Below are 21692 nucleotides of genomic sequence, written 5' to 3' on the forward strand. Positions count from 1 at the left end.
GATGCAAATGGGCTTAGACAAATGTATTAATGGCAAAGCTACACTGGGCTAAAATACGAATATTTATTCTGAAGGTGGTAGGATGAATGCAAATCTTACTGAACTTAATAGCATTCTAGTGCCATGTTTAAAGAGGGTGTTGCCTGGGATGACCTGGGAGCTGGCTCAGTTGGTCAGTCTTGATTCTGCCACACTATTAAAGTCTCTTCAAGTAGCAGTTGAGGAATATTCCTTTTGTGTTAAACAGAGGAAGATCTTTCCCAATTCATACATTTTTTGCATTGAATGACAGGGAAGCAATGGAGCCAAATACTAAATTCTAATTAACAGTAGCTCAATTTCATTCCTTCATAACACACACACACACACACACACACACACACACACACACAAACACACACACAAATTTAGCCTGATTAAAGTGCCTAAGGGGTCTCCTGGATAATGGTTCATGAAGACACAAATCCGTCATAAATATGTGTTTCCTTTGGATTTCCCATCACCCACTTTAAGCTTCTCTCTACCTCCTCCTGACACATTTGCTCTGGTCCACCTCTTACCTCCTCCACTTTTGGTTATAGTTCTCCTACTTCAGTGACCTTCCTTGTAAACTCCAGAGTATTTTTGTAATTTGACTCCCCAAGTTAAAAAGATCTGGACTGATAAGCAAAATGTGTGGATATACAGAAAATAGAGATTATTAATTCCATTTCATAATAAATTTCTATTTTCTTAAAACTGTCACCCTGCTCCCTATCGAGATCTGCCTTTCCTTTCTTCCTTAGGTTTCAGGCTCTGCATCTGCCAACCGTGTAGAGTAATAAAAACAGCCAAGGAAGAAATATATATATTTTTGTGGTTGACATTTTTTTCACATCTTTTTTGTTCTTTTTAGATGTTCTAATGTCCTTTAAGGATCCTGAAAGACAACACACCTAGGCTCCTTATCTCCCCAGCACAGCATCACAAACAATCACGATAGAGCATGGCGGTCTTTCCTCCCTACAGGAGAGACAGAAACAAATTTATTCACCCCTGAGGACTCCGAGGGGAGCAAGGAAGTGGGATGCTTGAGGGGCAGGGCTTGCTCCACATCTAAGCAGCTGGCCTCAGGACAGCAGCACGCGCTCCCCTTGATGAGGCCAGCTCAGGGCACAAGAGCCTTTTCTCACTCACCAGAGATCCCAAATAAAGGCTGGTGGAACCCTCCCAGACAGAGGTCACTCGATTAACCCAGCCCGCCTCATCCTGATAACAGGGTCAAGTACTTCTCACTGTGAAGAATTTTCAATTTATTTCACAGACAAGATAGCTCGATCCAAGCCAGCATCGCTGCTCCCCAGGAAGGCTCTCAGAGGAAGCTAAGGAAGGAGGACTGAGAGTCCTTTGCTGGGGCCCTGCCCTCCCATTCTTTAGGGCACCTCTGTCTAGGATCCCAGTTCTTTCACTGCAGGGGGATCTGTACTGCACCTTTACAAGAAAGGGGGCCAAGGCGTGAAATGAGGGGATAAGGACAGCCCTTCTCAAGTTTCCGCTGAGATTTAGAGTACAGCCTTCAAAGGAGGGGGTTCATTTCTGTTCTTTGGGTTTGCTTTGCATTTGTCTTAAATTTCTGTATAATTTATGATACCAGAAGTCAGTTGCGTTTGCCTCCCAGCATTCCCTCTCCCTTCCCCACATTGTTCTTTGAGGAATCCATGTCCTTGTCTAGTCTTGGTCCATTTGGTTCAGGGAGGGTATAAAACGTCTCAGTTGTCACTGACAGCACATTATCCCCAAGACTGCAGGGACTAGCTAAGAGATGACCACTTTAAACAGGTCAGACAAGTGAAAACTGTGAACCTGCAACTCTCGCTGGTGCAATCAGGTGAGAGGTACCGTCTTTGGATTGGGTTGATAAACTGGCTAAATAGAAGTTGGGGATGCCTGTGGCCATTCTTGCTTTCCTATGTGTTGGCTTCATTCTCAGGCCAACTTCCCATATGGTAGCCAGGAAAACAGACGGAGAGAGAGGAAGAGAGGGAAGTAATTTGGTGATACTTTTGAGTGGTTCTGAATTCATCTATGCCTCAACTGTACCTCTGGACTTCTCAATTAAATTAATTCAAAAACTCCCTTTATTTTTACCCATAAAGTTAAGTGATTAAGTCAGAGCAGAGAATGAAAGGACCCCTCCTGGATTGAAAACTATGGGTCTCCAGGAGACTCCCCTGTCTCACAGGGTCTAGACATGCACCTTGGTTTAATAAGTTGATTTCAGGTGCATTTTTCCATCAGGGTAATAATGTTCTCCACAACTAAGACACTAATTTCTGATGTGCTCTGTTTGGCATTTGTAAAGTCACTGTGTCTACTTTGCTTTGAGTCCTGGAATAGGCTGATACACTGGCATTTTCCTTAAACAAATTTACAGTCTCTAGCTTGGTACCTTACTTTCTTTTCATGCTATAAATCTGCATAACTCGCATGAGCTCATGCCATTCAGATACATTCCTTCCTTATTGTCCTTGTTTTTCTCCATTTTGAGTAACTGCATTCATTAATGTTTTTTCCCTTATTCCCATCATCCTCTCTTCCAATACATGCCCTTGACTATACCAGTCTATTTAATAGGCCTAAACTCATTTTTTTCATTTTCCACATCTCTTCTTACCATATAATGAACATGAATGTAACCATTATCTCTATATCTCCAGTGAACATTTTACTCAAGGCCAAGTACTTTGCTATATCATTTCTTTAATCCTCCCAGACACCCCATGAGATAAGTGTGACTTTGGCTCAATTATTCAACTTTTCTTGTCCTCACTTTCCTCATCGGTAAAATGGACATAATAAATATCAGAGGTGAAACTAGAAACTGGTTGATATTTACGTAAACCTGTGTTCTAACAAAATAGACAGACTCTTCTACATGTGTGCCAATTCTAAGTCACACAGCCTTCAAGCAAGCTAGTTAGTTTCAGATCTCTGATGACATGGTTCACCAATGACTGATACAGTCTGCCTTGAGGGCCACACTCAGCTCTCTGAGAATGCCTTTGCAGGAAACACCCAGAAGAGACAGAGAATGAAGGGAAACAAGAAGTCTAGAGAAAGCAGACAGTCAAAGCAAGACACATCCATACATAAGTATAAGAAGTTTCACAGAATGGACCCCTCTTCTTTCCAAATTTCCCCTCAAATAATGATGTAGAAAATACAACACTTTTAGAAAAAAACATGGAAAGTGTGAGAAATAAAAGTGCACAGATGATGTGGTAACTAGGAAAAAAAGGTGACTCTAAATCTGTACCCTCTTCCATACTTGAAAAGATTAAAATCTGGATTTCATGAAAAACCAGTAAGATTTAGAGGAGGTACAACTGCAAATGTTCCTATCTAAAGGCTTTGGATAGGGATCTGCTTTCCCTCTGGGTTCTTGACAATGTTGTGATAAGAAATAATCTATTCTTTCTCCCACCAAAATGCAGTGCAGATAATAATTTGTAGAGTATGATGGGAAGCTGAGGTGGGGAGTGAGGTTAGATGCAAATCTGAGGAGTTACCTGCTGCCCACCCTTCACCTCCACTTCACTAGGAAATGGGGTTCAACAGGGCTTTCCATGAGAGCTCTGCTCTTCATTACTTGCACACAGAGAAAATTATACAGGGGAGCCTTCTGCCAAGTGAAAAAGTGGCAGCTGAAAAGAAGGTGTGTGCTAGGAGGTGGGCCATGCCATAATTTGGGGTTGTTTTTAATAAGACTATTATAGAAGTTTCTCAAGTCATCCTGGAAGACTAAAGATCATGGGGCTAGATTATGGGTTTAGTAAACAGAAAATCTCCAAGTACTGGAAGGGAAACAGCCAATATTTACTTAGTGGCCGAGAGGAATCTTATTTTTAATCTATTTACCTGGAAGAACTGATAAATCAAAATCATTTCGTTTCTAAAAGTGCAACTAGGCCAAGGCTGATCATTTTAACTGAATGGACAAAGAAGGATAACAACAACATAATTATCCCCACTACAGAGACAGGAGAGTCTTTTAAAGTTAAAAGGAGGAAAGGGAAGAAAAAAGAAGACTAAAGGGGAAAAGAGAAAGAGAATCACACAAATACACACACAGATATACACACACACACACACACACACACACACACACACACACACACACACACTCAAATGCTCCAGAAGGTAGTGGAGATGAGGAGGAGGTGAACCCCACAGGGCAGTAGAGTTGCTCGGGAGCTAATGTTACTCATTACAAACACAAATTAGATCATCAAAGGATTAGTCATTTGTATAAAAGTTGAACCTGTTAAAAAAGATATGCATGTCATGTCATTTGCTTCTCACGGCATTCTTGTGACAAGTATGATATTGTTCAGCAACTTGCTTTTTTTTCCACTTGATATCACGGACAATTTTTTGTGTTGGTATACATAGATTAATCTAATTCATTGTAAACTCCACAGAGTATTCCACACTGTAAATAATTTAGCCGTTCCCTGCTGATATGGTTTGGCTGTGCTCCCACCCAAATCTCATTTTGAACTGCAGTTCCCATAATCCCCACTTGCCATGGGAAGGACCCAGTGGGAGGTAACTGAATCATGGGGGCAGTTACCTCCATGTTGTTCCCACGATAGTGAGTTCTCACAAGATCTGATGGTTTTATATGGGGCTTTCCCTGCTTCACTCTACACTTCTCCTTGCTGCCACCATGTGAAGAAGGACAGGTTTGCTTCCCCTTCCGCCATGATTGTAAGTTTCCTGAGGCCTCCCTAGCCATGCTGAACTGTAAGTCAATTAAACCCCCTTTATAAATTACCCAGTCTTGGGTATGTCTTTATTAGCAGTGTGAGAACAGACTAATACACCTACCATGAATGCTCTTGCATGTGCTTTTGGTGAAGCTGTAGTTAGGATCACCAGTTTATGGGTCAGAAATGGAGGCTTAGAAAGTTGAAGACTCCACAAACGGTTGAAGCTGAAAACGTCTCCTTTTCCAGGGGACTCACCTGCTCCAGGTCATCAGTTGACCTTTTGTTTTCTCCAGCTGGATCCTGATAGGGTAGGACAAAGAGTTCAGCAGTGGTGGGTAAGCCAGGGAGCACCGCCACCAGGATGTGCTGGCCTGGAACCCCTGTGGCCTGAGGGACAGACACAGGGGCTCACATTAGTGCTGCAGAGAAGAAAGCTGAGAAGGGACCAAGTATTTGGTGGGGGGATCAGGGGTAGGCAGAAGACACCACAAGGGGCCTGAAAGCAGAGGCCTGGGCATATCAGGCAGGGAGTATGTGAGAGACAGCACTGGGCTATTAGGTCCAGGCTCCGGAGTCAGGCTGTCTGTGATTTAATCCCAGCTTCAACACCGTGAGACCTTAAGCTCATTGCTTGTGTTCTCTATGCCTACATTCCTTTAAATAGAAGACAGGACAGTTGCAGTACTTGCCTTGTTCATGGCTGATTTTGAGGATTAAATGAGTTACACATGAAGTATTTACAGTAGGGCCTGGGGATTCAAATGTTAGCTCTTTTTGCTAGAGAGCATCTCCAAGGTGGTGACCATGCCAGTGAGAAGACCTTCACTTTATCATCTGCCCCTCATGCCTTAGCCCTTTCTAACCTAGCTTCCTCCTTCGTCAGCCCACTGGAGTTACTCTTCAAATAGACCCACCACATCCTAACCACCTAACCTAAGAGGACATCCCCATATCACAACCCTCAGGAGGCCCCTGTTGACTTTTCTGCAGCATCAGACCTGATGACCAGCCCTGTTCCCTGAAGCACCCTGAGCCCTCCACTTGGCCACACTGACTCTTCTGTTAAAATTACAGATATCACTCAAGGACTTCTTGTTTATCCTAGCTCACTGTTCTCTCTCTTGAGCTTATACCCCAGGGTTTCCCCTGAATCCTCTCTCTAGATGCTTCTAGAATCAATAGCTATAATCCCAGCTTCTCTCTCCAGCAGTCCAATTCTGATCATGTTCCTTGTCCAAAATGCTTGCAAGAATTCCCAATGCTAACAGGATTAAGGACATATTCAAGGCCTTCTGCAATATGGTCCCATGCTTCCTTTCCAAACTAATTACCCACAACTCTTACGCTTTTGCCAAATGGGATGATGTACAATTTCTCAATATTTCAGCTTTTTCCTGCAAATGTTCCTGTGCATGTTATCTCCACCAGAATGTCTTTTCTCTGCCTTTGCTATTTATCCTTCATGAGTCATCTTAAAGCTTATTTATTTCATTATTTCCCAATTAGGTGATTATTTGTTTTTGAACTCCACTGTGCTGCATTTTTTTTTGAAGTAGCAAGAAATTCCAGGTATTAGGTCCTCACCTAATGTTATAAGTTACTTAGCACAATCCCAGGTACTTCCTGGGTGTATTGTGCTAAGTAACTTATATTATTTGATGTGACCTCCAACAACGTTACTATTATAAGTAACTTATAATATTATTTTAGGCAACCTCCAACAACAACCCTTTGAAGCAAATATGATTACACCTCACTCTGCAGTGAGAACATATCATATGCTGGGGTCCTCAGGAAGCTGACTCTGAGTTTAGCATGCAGGATGTTTACTAAGAAGTGCTCTTGGGAACAACACCTATGGGAGCAAAGGGAAGGAAACAAACATGGACAAGGGAAAACTTGAGCTGCCATGTAGGCCCATGACAACTTCAAGAGACCCCGAGGGGAGACAGAATGGCCCTTCAGAGTTGTCTTAAATTGGGCTGAGATGGCCAGGACTTTACATAACTGCACCAGCCTGTCATCAGACATGAGCCACCCTAAGAAGTGACACGACTTGGAACCCAGCTGGTGAAGACTCTGCCCATAGCCCTCCCAGAAAAGACAATAAGTGTCTCCCTGAACAGAGATCTGGGTGGTGCATCTCAATTTCCACTCCAGGAAAGATGGTGGCTGTAGGAAGATTAGACAGTGGCTCAAGGCCATCTAGGAAGTGACTGCTGATGCTTTTGAAGCCTGGTCTGACTGTGAAGTCTGTGTTGGGACCCAGTGCTCTGTACCTCCCTTCTCCAGACACTGACAAACAACAGCTCCTATTACAGCAAACCCCACACTGTTTTATGCCCTTACTAGACTGTAAACTCAGAGATTGTGCCTGAATAATCTTCATTGTACACAAAAATGTTTATAATGACATTCAATTAAAGATTTCATTGTGAAATGTCAATAGCAAAAGCCATTTTGAGGAAGAAAAGGCAAACAATTTAATACTAAATTTTGTTTCATAATGAATAGCAAGAAAACTGCAAATAAGCTGACTCTCAGTTGTACCTCTCATAGGGTTTATTAGTGTACACTTGCCAATGTGGTCCCTTGGGACTTAAAAAAGTGGCCAAGTGCAATTACTGATCTCAAAGTCAGTGCAAATTGCTAGGAACCAAGCTCTGCATCAACTGCTTCTTGGGATTGGGTGACTAGGGAGCCTTGAAAACTAGAAGGTATTAATACCACCACCACCACTGCTATAACCCTGCCCTGAGGGATAATGAGTCAATCTGTTTATTCTGCATATTCCTGATTATGCTACACAGCAGGCTAGAAATCCTGATGAGCAGTAATTTCTAGCCTAATGGACAGCTGGTAGAAAGGTGGAGGTACAGGGCATCTGATCTCTAAGTAATAAGTGTGAAGAGAAATCAGCCTGGAAGGCTGGACATTGCTGAGCTAGTGCTTGGTTGATACATCACCTGGGGGAGTTGGACAGATAGAGGACCTATGGGGACACAGGTCCCTAGAATGCTGCAGATGAGAAGAGATGGACAGTGGGTTCGTTAAAGAGCATAAGTCATCCTTCTTGGACAGCAGAGGACAAAAACCAGTTGTTACCCTAGAGACGGATGGCTCAGAGTAGAAAGGCCTATTCCTTTTAGGGTTGTAGTCTGGTAGTCGTGCCTCCTGGTGGTGATAATGTGTAACCACCAATCATGTCACAGATGCTGAAAGCCATAGAGACAGAGGTGGGTGGCATTGCTCAGAGGCACATGAAGATACCCCTTCTTTACCCCAGTATTCCATCTATCCCTGTTTCTCCTTGGAATAAGGAAGAGGATGGCCCTAGAGTGGAGTGGTTAGGAAACCACAAAAATCAAGATTCAAACCTTGATGGTTTGACTCCAGAATCTGATCTTTAAGTGCATGACCTTGGATGAGTAACCTAATATCTCTGAGTTTCATTTCTTCACCTACAGAATGGGTAGTTCTGAAATCACGGTTTCAACATCGTAAGCTTATTTGGGGGATTAAATGTGTTAAAATAATGCAAAGCACTCAAAAGAGTATCTAGAATATTTTAAGTGCTAACCAAATATTAACAAAGGTAATGAAGACAGGGAAGACCAGCTCCTTGCAAGAGGCTGGATGTAAGATCTGTTTTCTGATCAGGAGTTATCTGAATGCCTTTATTTCATCATCTTTTTGTGTCCTGTGGCACCATGTGTTGGAAGCAGGAAAGAATGTTCAGCAAACCTAAACTGATTTTCATTCTGAGCTAAGAATATGCCCTGGGAGTGGATAACTCACTTCTGATTTTCCGCGTTTGCACAATAAGCTCAAGCTGCCCCATGAGCGGCTATCCCACTCCTCTGCTCACTCATGAAAGTAGAATAAGGGGCCGACGCAGTGGCTCACGCCTGTAATCCCAACACTTTGGGAGGCCGGGGCAGTTGAATCACTTGAGGTCAGGAGTTCGAGACCAGCCTGGCCAACATGGTGACACCCGTCTCTACTTAAAATACGAAAAAAATAGCTGGGCGTGGTGGCAAGCACCTGTAATCCCAGCTACTTGGGAGGCTAAGGTGGGAGAATCGCTTGAACCCGGAAGGCAGAGGTAGCAGTGAGATGAGATTGAGTCACTGCACTCCAGCCTGGGTGACAGAGTGAGACTATATCTCATAAAAGAAAAAAAAAAAGTAGAACAAGGAGGGGAAGATGTGCCTAAAAGAAGGTGTCTTCTCTAATTGCCAGTGACATTTGCTCAGGGAAGGATAAAACACAACCACCTTGTTATTCTCTGAGAAACCTTAGGAAGCTTTGTCAAATACACAAAAGCCCAGACATTGGACTCAGGCCCTTAATTTCAATTTTGCAGCTCCATCCTCTATTAGATATGAGAGTTTAGGCAAGTTACTTAACCTCTCTAAACTTCAGTTGCCTCATCTACAAAGTGTGGATAATAATTCCTTTTTGGGGCTGTTACAGTACAGAAATTTCTTTAAAAAAATGAGGAAATAGAAATATGACTAACCATCATATACTGAATGCTCACTGCACTGTTATGCTCACAGTTGCGGAAGTTGGAACCTGGGACCACTCTTACTAATTGTAGTCAGCCGAGGACACTTACATGCTGAGTTCCTTCACTGGCAGGTACAGTAGCTGGTTTTATAATTCCTAATGGCCTAATTGTGAACTCTGCTACAGAAATGTGGACAAAGGAGTTTAGGATGTACTTGTCCTCCTTCTCTAAGCAGAACAAGAGTCACAAGAGGCAAGGACCCCATGTTTGTCCGTGGTTCCATAGTTGCATCCCCTTTAGGGCCTTTGAGGTCTCTGCATGTGTGGGGCTCAGCTTTGCAGACATCAGGCCAGAACTTCCCATGGGCTCTAGCTTCTTCCTGCTGGGTTAGTTTGTTTGTTTTTGTACAAAGCTCCCCTTTCTGTGAAATTCTTCAAGGACAGAGAGAAAAGGTACCCGGGCAAGAGAAGAAACTGTGTGCACTCACTTCCACCAGGGATTTTTTGATGACTCGACCGATGTCCCTCCTCCACTCAGGGATGTCCGGGTTGTAGTCATCCAGGTTTGGAGAAAAGGACAAGCGAAGAGACCGGAATTCCTCTGGGGATATAACAGTAGATGGAGTACTATAAGTCAAATAGTCCTGTCAAGAGGTTTGTTAGACTTTATATTTTATACAAAATGGAGGGTCCTTCCCCTTCACTTACCATAGGGACCTTTTTAGAAGGCAAGCCACTACCCTGTGAATATCTCACCAGCCCCTTCTTTTCTTTTTTTGTTTGTTTTAAGGAGCGGAGAGTTTAATAGGCAAGAAAGAAGGTAGAAGAAAGAAGGAAGAAGCTCCCCTGTATAGAGACAGAGGGAGGGGGCTACAAAGCTGAGAGAGGAGACCACCCCCCCAGACTACCCCTGGCCCCCCTTCCCCCCTTCTCCTTTCCTCTGTCTCCCCCTTTCCCCCTTTTCTCCCCCTCCCGCCCCCACCCCCGCAGCGTGACCGATACCATCCAGTTATATGAGGAGGCAGTGTCTGATTTGCATAGGGCTTAGGGATTGGTTTGACCAGGCATGTCATTCATGATATAGACAGGGAAAAAACTGGCCCTCTCACCCTAGCCTTTTAGTATGCAAATGCAGGGTGCCATGTTGTTCTACACACAGAGGGATACGTGGGGGCAGCCATGTTGCCAGTCACATGTGAGGGCAAGGGCAAGAACAGGGCAGGGAATTGCCATGTTTGGTTGGACCCAGTTTCTAATGGCCAGCATTTGCATACCAAAGGTTGCCAGCAGGCTCTAAGAGCCCGTAGCCCCTTATTTTCTAAACCAAACCCCTAACTTTGTTCCATGCCTATCTTTGCAGCCTTTGCCTATTATTCCTAGTTCTAGGTTCTGCGCTCCTGGATAGTAAATGATCTGGAGCAACCTGAATGCATGGTAGGTTTATGACCCTGGGCCTCTTTGCACACACCGTTCTTCTGCCTAGAACGCCCCATTCTCCCCACTGTCCATGCACAAAATATTCAAGCTCTAGTTGAAGCACTCCCTGGCTCACTACCCTCCCCCGGCTCACTACCCTCCCCCATCACATTTTAATTTTCTTTTTTATGGCACTACTCTGTTTTGTACATACTTTTTATTATTATTATAGGATTATGGAATAATTATTATGATTAGATATTTATAATTATCACTGTAATCATTCTATTGCTATCGTTTGTTTGCATGGAAGTTTCATTTAATGGAATTTTATGTTATTCAGGGATTTTCTTCATTGTCTCTGTAGCACCTGAGTTAGTTTGGTTCTCCAGGAAGCAAGATGGTGATTACACAGGCAAGGATTATATGAGGGGAATTCTCTGTGCGAGAAAGTGGGCAGGAAGCCACAGGAGTCATGGAGAACTATCGACCACCGTGCATGCATATAGGACAGTCAAAGAGAGGAAGAAAGAGTGGGTGACTACTCTGCAGTCTGAGGAAGGTTCAGTAAGCCTGTTCAGGAGTCTTGGAGCCAAAGTCGCTGGCAGAGGAGTCCCCTGCGTTCCAGGAATGGTTCAGCCTTAGTATCCCTGCTATACTCTGTCATTGGCAGGGTAAGTCCCTGGAAGGTGGAGCCCTAGCCCTAGCTTGGTGATAAGCTTCAGAGCACAGCACTGGTGGCCTTGGTCAGTTACACTCTCTGGAGTTGGAGGTCTGTGAAGCCCATTCTTGTGGCTTCAACACTCCTTACCCAGCATAGTGTTTGGCACATAATAGACTCAGATCATATGGCTCCCCTAAAACCTGCCAGTGCCTCCACATTGCATTTAGTATAAAATTTAGATTCTTACCACAGCCTTCCTGGCCCTACATAACCTGGTGGGGACTTCCTTTGTCCTGTCCTACCTGGCTTTCCTGCCCTCTCTGTGCTCCAGGACCTGTACTTCCCTGTGCTCCTCAATCCTGCTGGCTCTGTCCATACCAGCTCTCTCCACTTCACTGGACTGTAGCAAACTCCCCTCTCATCATTCAGTCTCACCCCGAGAGGCCTTTCCAACCACCCAACCTCAGGTAGCCTCCCTTCCACCATCCCATGCACCCTTCATCACTGGACCCTTTGTCTCTTTTTCACACTCAGCGCTATTTAAATTATTTTGTTTTCATTGATATGTCCTTCAAACTGGAATATAACCTCAATCAGGATGATGGCTCTGTGTTCCTGGCCCTTGTCTAGCACACAGTAGGTTTTCAGTTACTATCTATGAGTCATTTATAATTAATAAACATTTGTTGAATAAATGTATGCTTAACTTATGGTGTAGCCTTCTCGAAATTTATGCATTTATTTATTTAATAAACATTTTTTATGTTAAGCATGCCCTTTTGTTTCATTAGGGTCCAAGCGACATTGGGGATGCCAATTTACATTCAGGAAGCACAAAAGTTCACTTGTACATTTCCTAACAATGCTAAGGAGTTATCAAACACATGTTTCGAAGACTCTGACTTTATAAGGTATGTTTTCGTGGCAGTTAATATATTCCAAAGAGGTATTGTTCAAAGCTTGACTATTTTATGAGTCACTGGTCACCTATGTGAATATTACCTGATGGGGAACAATGAAATGCACGTTAACTAAATAGTGTGGTAAACAGCAGTGCCAAAGAATCACCCATTAAGTCCTCACTTCTTGCTATGAAGATTTAAGTTTATGTCATTCTCACTTTCTCCGTACCTCTTACCAAACTGCAGAGACTTCATCCACAAGGGAGAATGTTTATCTTAGTAAAAGGACACAAATGAGAAAATGATGCAGCTCCCTCCGTAATTACTTAGCATACTAACCAGCATGGCAGGGAGGCAGAATGGCAGGGAAACGTACTTAAGTTGATTCAAGAAATAGGGGATGCGTGTGGGCGGACTGAAAAGGGTAAACACCAATAATATAATATTTTTTGCAGCTGTTGAGAGAGATAAAGTCTATACACTTGCGTATTTTTATTTACAAGCAAACTTGTGCCCTGGAGCAAATTAGAAGAAACAATGCAAACTAGATTTTCTTTCTTTTAATTGATTGTGTGGCTTTGAGTAGACAAACCTTCCCCTGTCAATTTCCCAAATGTGATGCTTTTTTCAGTCCCATCATGACAATAGGACTTCATGTTCCCATCAATCTCACTAAATTTCAAACAAGTTTCTGTTTCTTCCTGACTGTAAGCTCCTGGACTTGCTTTTCTTAGAGTATTCTGGAAAACTTACAATTGTAAATTCCTTCTCTGTCCCTTGAGATGTAAAACTTCTACAACTCATGAATGTCTTTCTCAAGGACCTGGGAGCCATTCCTTTGAAATGTAATCATCAAGAAAGATAGCACCCCTCCCTATCTCCCAGTCTCTGCGGGAGAGTAGGAGACTGACTTCCCTAAGCAGTGATTAACTCACACAGATGGTCTAATCACACTGGAAACCCACGTGCTTCCTAAAGTTCTCCAGTATTTTCCCACTAGCTAACCCCAGCGTTTACAAATCTTCCTGCTTTTTCTTTCAGCTGGGTTCAATCTTTCCTGTTTAACTTTGCCTGCTCCAACTTTTGTTTAAGGAGTCACACCTGTCATTAAAACTGTCTGATCATGGAACCAGGTGTGGTTACTCATGCCTGTAATCTCAGTACTTTGGGAGGCTGAGGAGGGAGGATCGCTTGAGGCCAGGAGTCTGAGACCAGCCTGGGCAACATAGGGAGACCCCATAACTTTCCGATTATGTATATGAATCTCTGGATAACTCAACTGACCAAAGACAAATTAAGGGTGGCCGATGGTGCAGGAATTTGGTTAGAAGAGGAGGAGAACCTTGCCAAATCTCTTAACGAAGAGACATATGATAACCTATTTTTATAAAGAGTGATTCACCCTTGGGTGATACCTGTAAAGAAATTGTAGAAAGAGGAAGAAGCAAGCATAGCAAGGCATGGGAGGTGCTTACAAACATACCCTCTGGATTCAGAATTCTTAGCTCGTTTATTATACTTGTCTCATGTTTTCTCATCCGTAAAATGCATAATTATAGAATATTTCTCATAAATCTGAGCAGATTTAATAAAGCAGATCAAACCAAATGCTTAGAACAGATGCCAGTGGCTAGCAAAGTCTTCATCAATGTCAATTACTATCACCACCACCATCGTTATGATCATATTTGTCACCAATCAGCAGAATGACTTTAAGCCAGTAATTCCCTATGTCTGGGCCATAATTTCCTATCTATAAAATGATGGGCTGGACCAGATAAGGCCAAGATTTAAGGTTTTCTTCATGATTCTAATGACATCACCAACATGCATAACCAAGAGGACATCTGTTGGGCTAATAGGTCAGTGCCCATTAGTGCAACCTGTGACATCCAAGAGGGAGAGAAAGGAAAAAAAAATCCAGTGAAAATAAATGAGAATCAGTTAAGTAGGATAGTTTCAGTGCATGGGCCCTGAGTCTAGATGGGTTGGGTTGCAAACCCAGCTGCACCACTTGCTAGCTGGGGCAAGTTATTCATCACTCTGAAAAAAATGGGGATCATAATATCACCTGCTTTACACTAGGGTTGTTATGAAGAATAAATGCATTCCCAGCACCCAGAAAGGAGATGGAGAAGGGAAGAGAGGCAGACTTTGCCGCACTCTATACACAGCCACTGTTTGGCCACCTCGTACCTTGCTAATGGGACATTGGTAGGAAAATCACAGCCCTGGTTTATTTCTTATTATCTGGGCTGATCAAGCCTTTCAGGAGGAAGGGAGAGAGAAGAAATTATAAAATCTAACACCCAGCCATGAAAGGAATAGTGTCCTTAAGGCCTTTTGATCCTTAGATGTGTTCAAAGTTGCTTACAAATTATTTTCTGATTTTGAAGGTCAAGTTGGCAAGATGAGCATTAACAGAACCTGACTCCTCACAGGAAAATCCAGCCCCAAATTATCTCATCAAAATCAACTGATAAGGGAACTGGGCAATTGACATTATTTGGACCACGAGCTAGGCTGTCTGTCTCTCTCTTGCTCTTTCTTTTTTTTTTTTTTCTTTCGAGATGGAGTTTCTCTCTTGTTGCCCAGGCAAGAGTGCAATGGCGCGATCTTGGTTCAGTGCAGCCTCTGCCTCCTGGGTTCAAGCGATTCTCCTGCCTCAGCCTCCTGAGTAGCTGGGATTACAGGCATGTTCCACCATGCCTGGCTAAATTTTATATTTTTAGTAGAGATGGGGTTTCACCATGTTGGTCAGGCTGGTCTCGAACTCCTGACCTCAGGTGACCCACCCGCCTCGGCCTCCCAGTGCTGCGATTACAGAAGTGAGCCGCCGCACCCAGCCTCTCTTGCTCTCTTTCTCATCCTCCTTCCTTCCTCCCTCCTTCTGCCTCCTCCTCTCTCTGCACAGCATTTCCTTCTCCTATCTAATTTCCACTTCTTATATTTCAAAAGCTAATTTTTCAGGATTCATATGTACCATTTCCATATTAATAATAAACATTTTTGCCATGTACTAGTAACACTTAGTGCATATCCATATGACTATCTTTCTATGCAGAAAAAGATTTACCAAAATGAAATCAATCCATCAAGTATTTTTTTTATTTCCAGTTTTCAATCAATGACTCCATCTTTTCATTTCAGTACACATTCATTCCATCTAATCCTGTGACCATATTCAATTTCCCCAACTGATCACAAAATTAGCCATTTGTTCAAATATCCCGTCTATGGCTATGTACGACATCTAATTGTTATGACCCTTCCATCACTCTCAATCTAGCAGATAATTTTTTTTATGATACAGATTTGTGGAAGAGGTTTTTAAAGTATTTAGACAATGGCAGATTTCCCTTATTAGTCAAGAATTTTAAAGTTGAACTTAAAAAAAAGAGATTCAACATTAGCTATTTTATTTTGTAACTGGTATTCAAATATTACTAACAATCTAAGTGAAATGAGTTAGCCTTACACATCCTAAAATCCACTTTACACTATGAGTGAGTGAATAGTCACTCTACCTCTAAGAAAACCCTTTCTGGATCCCGTGACGCTGTTTTACCAGTGATTCAAATTTCCCTACAGGAGAAGATGAGACTCGCCTCAGCTCTTTCTCAACTACTGCCCTCCGTTCTCCAGGTAAAAGTCACAGCTGGGGGATGGTCTCTGGCATCATGGCACAAGAGAACCTCCTCTGAGCATGAAGACAGCAGTAGATCCACTGAGATGGGCACTCACCATATACTGCGATGGTCTTTGTGTCTTGTAGGATGGCATTCCCAGCTGAGACCTGCACTGTGATGGTATTCATTCCTTCTGAAGTAAATCTGAAGGATATGCTTCCCTCCAAGGTGATCAAAGGCTAAAATAAACAAGGGCCCAGAGTGAAGGGAAAGCTCTTTAGTTACAGGTGACACAGCCACTAACTGTGAGCCAACAATAGGCTGTCTAACCCAGCAGAGGCTCTTCCTGATGTACCACAATGGCACTGAGTCCCTCTATGCCTCCCTATCATCTCAAGCCCAAAGCAGAAAAGAGGCTATTGGAGCAATGACTCCAAGCAAGTCTGCCTATTCATTGTGAATTCCTGATATCATCCTGATTCAGGGCTGGGGAGATGGATAGGTCTTGCTTGCTGGTGGAATGTATGTCTCTCTTTATGCATGACCTACTCATATCAAGCAGATCCCTAATACAAGGAAATGATCAAAGCAAATGAGAACGGGGGCTCATATTAATCCAGATGGAAGCAGCAGTCACTGAAAATCTATAAGCTGCCATGTGTTCATCTCCAGGGTGTACGATTTCTGTAGAATTACAATGGAACATGAATCCGGTACACCAAAACCATACACTAGTTAAACAGCAGTGGCCTTGTGTGCTGGCCCGCTTTGAGAAGCCTCATCAGCAGTTTCCTGGAAGTAGCTGCTGTGGAAACAAGCACTAATTGGATAGTGGTTTGAGGATTCAAAACAGAAAAAAAAGAAAAAAAAATTTGGCGTGGTGCCTGCAATACAATCGACTGCTAGGGTCCTAGAGGAAAAAATATTAGCCTACTGACCTCCCTTGACACACTCCTCACAAACATTTATTTCCCATCTTTTCTTAATTAATTTAAAAATCAAAATTCATTTAATTCCCTGTATGGCAGAAAGAAGACTAACGCCCAGCATGAGAAGCCTTTTCAATGGGGTCTCTTGAGAATCTGGTTTTCTTTTAAAAGGAAAAATAAAAAAAATAAAAAACAATAGGGGGTACAAAAGGAAGTTGTTCAGTACATTCACCTTTTAGTACTAGTTTTCAGGGAAATGACATAGATTCCTGCTCTTCCGCTATGGATAGAGGGCCCACTATGGGCTGAGTTCACACACATAGTTTCAGGTGAAATTAAAAAGGGTCTCTTTTCAGTTTAGTTATGGTTGCAGTAGAGGTGAGAGGTTCTTTCCACTGTTTAGGTTTGTCCTGGGCCTGTGCAAAATTATATCTCCAGCTAAAGCCAAGTTTCAGCTCCAGAGCAGAAAAATGTTTTTATTAAAATAAGAGACATCGTATTTGAAGAGCAAAGTCACCAAGTGAAAGCAGCTCTGATGGAAGAAGATGGAGTGTTTCAGTCCAGAGCAGTTCATCCCAGTGTCCTTTGGGGCCTCAGCTCTATTGCCTAACTTACATTTGGAAGCACTTTAATTTCTGAGAATGGAATGAGTTCAAAACTGAAATAGACCATGCAGCCTGGTGTAGAGGAAAGAAACATTAGTGGAGGCATCAGAAGGCCTTAAATTTGGCCTCTTATGAAGCAGCTGGAAGAGATCAAAGCAAACCACTCCAGCTGCACCACCCTCACTTTTCTCATGTGCAAAATGAAAGACTTAGAGTAAACAAGGTGTTAGGTCTCTACTAGATTTAAAATTGCCACTGACTTTTGAGCATAGGGAATATTTGGAAAAACATATAAAAGTTAAAGCTGACCTAAATAAATAAGAGTTTTGATTTAGGGTAAGAAGGCCATTGGGGGTGGGTTGTAATGGAAATCTATTGCTTGCGCCTGTCCAGTTGCATCCAGTTGCTTCGTTTTCTTTTGGTAATCACTTCTCCCCTTCTGTAGTTCACGTGGTTCCGAGGAGACTGACTTCTTCACCTCCCTCTCTACCCCCAGCACTGTGATCAAGGCCTGGCCAGTAAGACTCAATTTCAGGACTGTTGTTAGAACTTTCAGGAAATAGAGTTTAATTTCTCTGCTAAGCTAGGGCTGCTAAGAGTCACTACAAAGACAAGTACAGCTGGAGAAAAACGTAAACATAGAGGAAGGCAGAGATGAAATGCAGAAGGTGGAGAGGGGCCAGAGAGAGAGAGAGAGAGAACATAATGATGAGATACTTGAGCACCAAGGGAGCTTGTTGTCCTTGAAGCTACAACTGCTTCTACACTCTAGGGTTCATAAGCCATTTCATTCCCTCCTTTGCTTCAGGCAGCGTGAATTGAGCTTCTGTCCCTAGATCGCATGTGGAAGGTGAACCCACCTCCGTGTTGTTTCCGTACCACCACACGTAAGTGAGGGTGCCCACTTGGCTGGGCCACAGCACTGCCGTCGCATTGACCTCTTTGTTCTTTGTGGTGACAAAGGGAAGAGACAGGTGCACGTGCTCCAAGGGACCTGAGGCACAAGAGAAAGAGAGGCCATGGATGGGGAAGAGCTTCCTCTGCTCTGTCCTCCCTGCTCTGAAGAGATCACACATTTACTCTTGAAGCCCCCAAAACCTGGCTGCCATATTCCCCAAAAGAAGTGTTCAGATGCTTTCCCCACTTTGGAGAAAGAATACATTGAGCACAATTGCATCTTGACATTTTGCACTTACCAATCTTTCTACCAGTTCTAACACCTGAGTTAGGTGTGTGTAAAAGTTAAAAAAAAATTACAGGTAACTTATGAAGTCCTTAAGAACAGGCATCATTTGGGATTTCACAAGGCAATGCAGTCTTTCCAAGAGGTTGTATCCCTGGTGGTGAACCAGAGTCATGAAGACCTCATAGAATCCATATTGATGAAGGGTGAATGGACAAATCTTCAAACCACTCTCTATGTCATTACCCTTTATTATTTATTGGGTTTTAAAGGTCTGTGTATGTGTGAATGTGTTCGTGCATGTGTCTGCAAAGCTGTCTAGTTAGGTAAGCATGGCACACACACTGTGTTTGGGGTTGAATTAAGTTAATTCAGGACAGAGGTGTGTGTGTAAGTAGATAGAGAGCTCTGTGGTTCTCAGAAGATGCTCACCTAAAATATAGAATGATTTTATCTACAGAGGCCTATAAAAACTGGAAACCTTAATTAGATGTACCAACCTCACAAAGATATGAATGCCCTCTTCATAAAGAACCACTAGGACCTTTCCTTCAACCCTCAATCTTCTCTTTGAGTCACTGTTTCCAGGCAAAATGCAGCTTCCTATGCATTTGCCATCCCCATCTTTGTCCCATGAGGTAGAGGAGAGAGCAATACCTTGGGTCTATTCACCTGGTTTATTACCTCCTCTTCTGCTTGCCCTGTAAATGTGTTTCCCAGAGTCCTGTGTTGAGACTTTTTCACTCTCTACAGACTTTTCTACTAGGCAACACCATCCACACCTTAACCTTCAAATATCAAATGCATGTGAAGGGCTCTAACACCCCTTTCTGGGCTCTAGACTCCTTCTGGGGGGGTCTAGACTTCTTTGCCTCCAGCAATCAAATGTTCTCAAGGACCCTGTTATTTCCCTCTCCTGTATTCTCTACAGTTTGGTGATTAACACTCATATTCATCCAGGAGCCCACTCCAGAAACAGAAAGTCAATTTCAATTTCTTTTTTGTTATTCACATCCATTTAGGAAACTGACGATTTGGTTTCATAAATCTCTCTAAGATATTTAGCTCACCCTCCCTAATCTGGCGCCCTGGTTCATACTCTAAGCACGTTCTCACTTATCTTCCAGATTTTCCTGCCTGTAACCTTTCACCACCCGAATCCATCCTCCAAATGGCTGCAACAGTAATTTTTCTAGAAAGCGAAGCTGATCATGTTACTCATACTTGTTCAAAATTAAGATTCCCGTGATTGGGAATGTGATGTGGTGTGGTGGCTCATGCCTGTAATCCCGACACTTTTGGAGGCCGAGTTGGGTGGATCATGAGGTCAAGAGATCGAAACCATCCTGGCCAACATGGTGAAACCCCATCTCTACTATAAATGCAAAAATTAGCTGGGCATGGTGGCATGCACCTGTAGTCCCAGCTACTCAGGAGGCTGAGGCAGGAGAATTGCTTGAATCCGGGAAGCAGAGGTTACGGTGAGCCAAGATCACACCACTGCACTCCAGCCTGGTGACAGAGCAAGATTCCATCTCGAAAAAAAAAAAAAAAAAAAAAAAAGATTCCCATGATCCAATTATGATAATAATGATAGCTAACACACATTGATTTAAAATTTGTGAGACAGAAGACAGAGGCTGAAAACTTCTTGAGGGTAAGAATTCTTCATATTTATCTTCATACACAAAGACTAGCAGAGTTTCTAAGACATTATAGATGCTCAAGTATTCACTGGGTAAAACAAATGATATAACTTCCCATGTCCGTCTTTGTGCATGCTACTCCCTCTTTAGAGAATGAAAAGTCTGGTGATCAGCATACAGAATCAAACTGATCTTCTGGCCTATAAAGCATATGTTGAGAAGCAGTTGATTATAAGCCAGAGCAGTTCAATGAAATAATAAAAGGGTAACATTTACTGAGCGATGACTACAACTAAATGTTCTGCTAACGACTCTGTTTTTCTTATTTTATCCTCACAAAACAATCTTATGAAGTAGGCACTAATATCCTCCCCGTTTAGAGATGAACAAAGTAACGTGACTTTCCCCAGGTCATACAGCTAGGAAAGCAGTTTGGTTTCAGAGCCCTTGTTCTGAGCAGATGGAAGTGTTTGAAAGAACCTTTCCAGTCAAACAAAATAGCTATTAAGAGTTGCTGCCTCCTCATCAGGTAAATATGTCCCAGGCATTGGAAAATGCACTTTCCACCTGGTTTCATTTATTGCACAAGTCTTGCCATTTCCCTATCAAATGGTTTGTTCCAGCAAGCCATGTCCTGGTCCACCCCAGGGCCTTTGCTTCTACACACCTTTCTTATGGCACCTGTCAGTCTTCAAATCTCAGTTCCAGCATCCCCTCCTCTGTGACATTCTTCCTGAGTCCCTCAATCTGCGTTAAATGAATACATTAGAATACAATGACTAGATAAACTATGCTAGAAATGCTAGTTCCATTCTAAAGAGGTTCATTTTGTCTCTCATATGTGAGCTTTTTTTTTTTTTTTTTGAGACAGAGTCTCACTCTGTCGCTCAGGCTGGAGTGCAGCGGCACGATCTCGGAGCATTGCAACCTCTGCCTCCCAGGTTCAAGCAATCCTCCTGCCTCAGTCTCCCGAGTAGCTAGCTGGGACTACAGACACACACCACCATGCCTGGCTAATTTTTGATTTTTAGTAGAGACAGGGTTTCACCATGTTGGCCAGGCTGGTCTCGAACTCCTGACCTTGTGATCCGCCCGCCTCGGCCTCCCAAAGTGTTGGGATTACAGGCGTGAGCCACCACGCCCGGCTGAGCATTTTTTAAAAGTCATAAACCAGCGTAAGAACAATGCCTATATGTCATTGTCTCAATGAAAAATTCGAATCTTGTTAGTAAAACATGGTAATTCATTCACTCAGTTTTTTTATTTTTATTTATTTTTTTATTTTTTGAGACAGAGTCTCCCTCTGCTGCCCAGGCTGGAGTGCAGTGGCATGATCTCAGCTCACTGCAACCTCCACCTCTCGGGTTCAAGCAGTTCTCCTGCCCCAGCATCCCAAGTAGTTGGGATTACAGGGGCGTGCCACCAAATCTGGCTAATTTTCGACATCCGGCTAAT

The 21692-nt window shown here is 43.0% G+C and overlaps 1 protein-coding gene across 17 annotated transcripts in view, besides 1 other annotated feature; it reads right to left on the reverse strand.

Annotated features, from left to right (window-relative positions):
- Positions 1–21692, reverse strand: part of SORCS1 (sortilin related VPS10 domain containing receptor 1) — a 607476-nt gene that overhangs the window by 28497 nt on the left and 557287 nt on the right. For 12 of the 17 annotated variants that reach the window (XM_017015617.1, NM_001206570.2, NM_052918.5 and 9 more), the window contains 4 exons: positions 18269–18402; positions 15990–16113; positions 9752–9864; positions 5007–5138 (listed from right to left, as the gene is read on the reverse strand). In XM_017015617.1, the coding sequence (XP_016871106.1) occupies positions 5007–5138; positions 9752–9864; positions 15990–16113; positions 18269–18402 (503 nt within the window). The remainder of the gene's footprint in view (positions 1–5006; positions 5139–9751; positions 9865–15989; positions 16114–18268; positions 18403–21692) is intronic. The other 5 variants (XM_047424547.1, XM_017015615.3, XM_047424545.1 and 2 more) reach the window with 1 other exon arrangement.
- Positions 12765–13367: an enhancer, noted in NCBI's record as "NANOG hESC enhancer chr10:108374682-108375284 (GRCh37/hg19 assembly coordinates)". NCBI's record gives its function as "activates a minimal SCP1, AML or CMV promoter by ChIP-STARR-seq in primed H9 embryonic stem cells {active_cell/tissue: H9 hESC(primed)}" and the evidence as "EXISTENCE:reporter gene assay evidence [ECO:0000049][PMID:30033119]".

The sequence above is a fragment of the Homo sapiens genome, chromosome 10, assembly GCF_000001405.40.
Source record: "Homo sapiens chromosome 10, GRCh38.p14 Primary Assembly".
Taxonomy (NCBI): domain Eukaryota; kingdom Metazoa; phylum Chordata; class Mammalia; order Primates; family Hominidae; genus Homo; species Homo sapiens.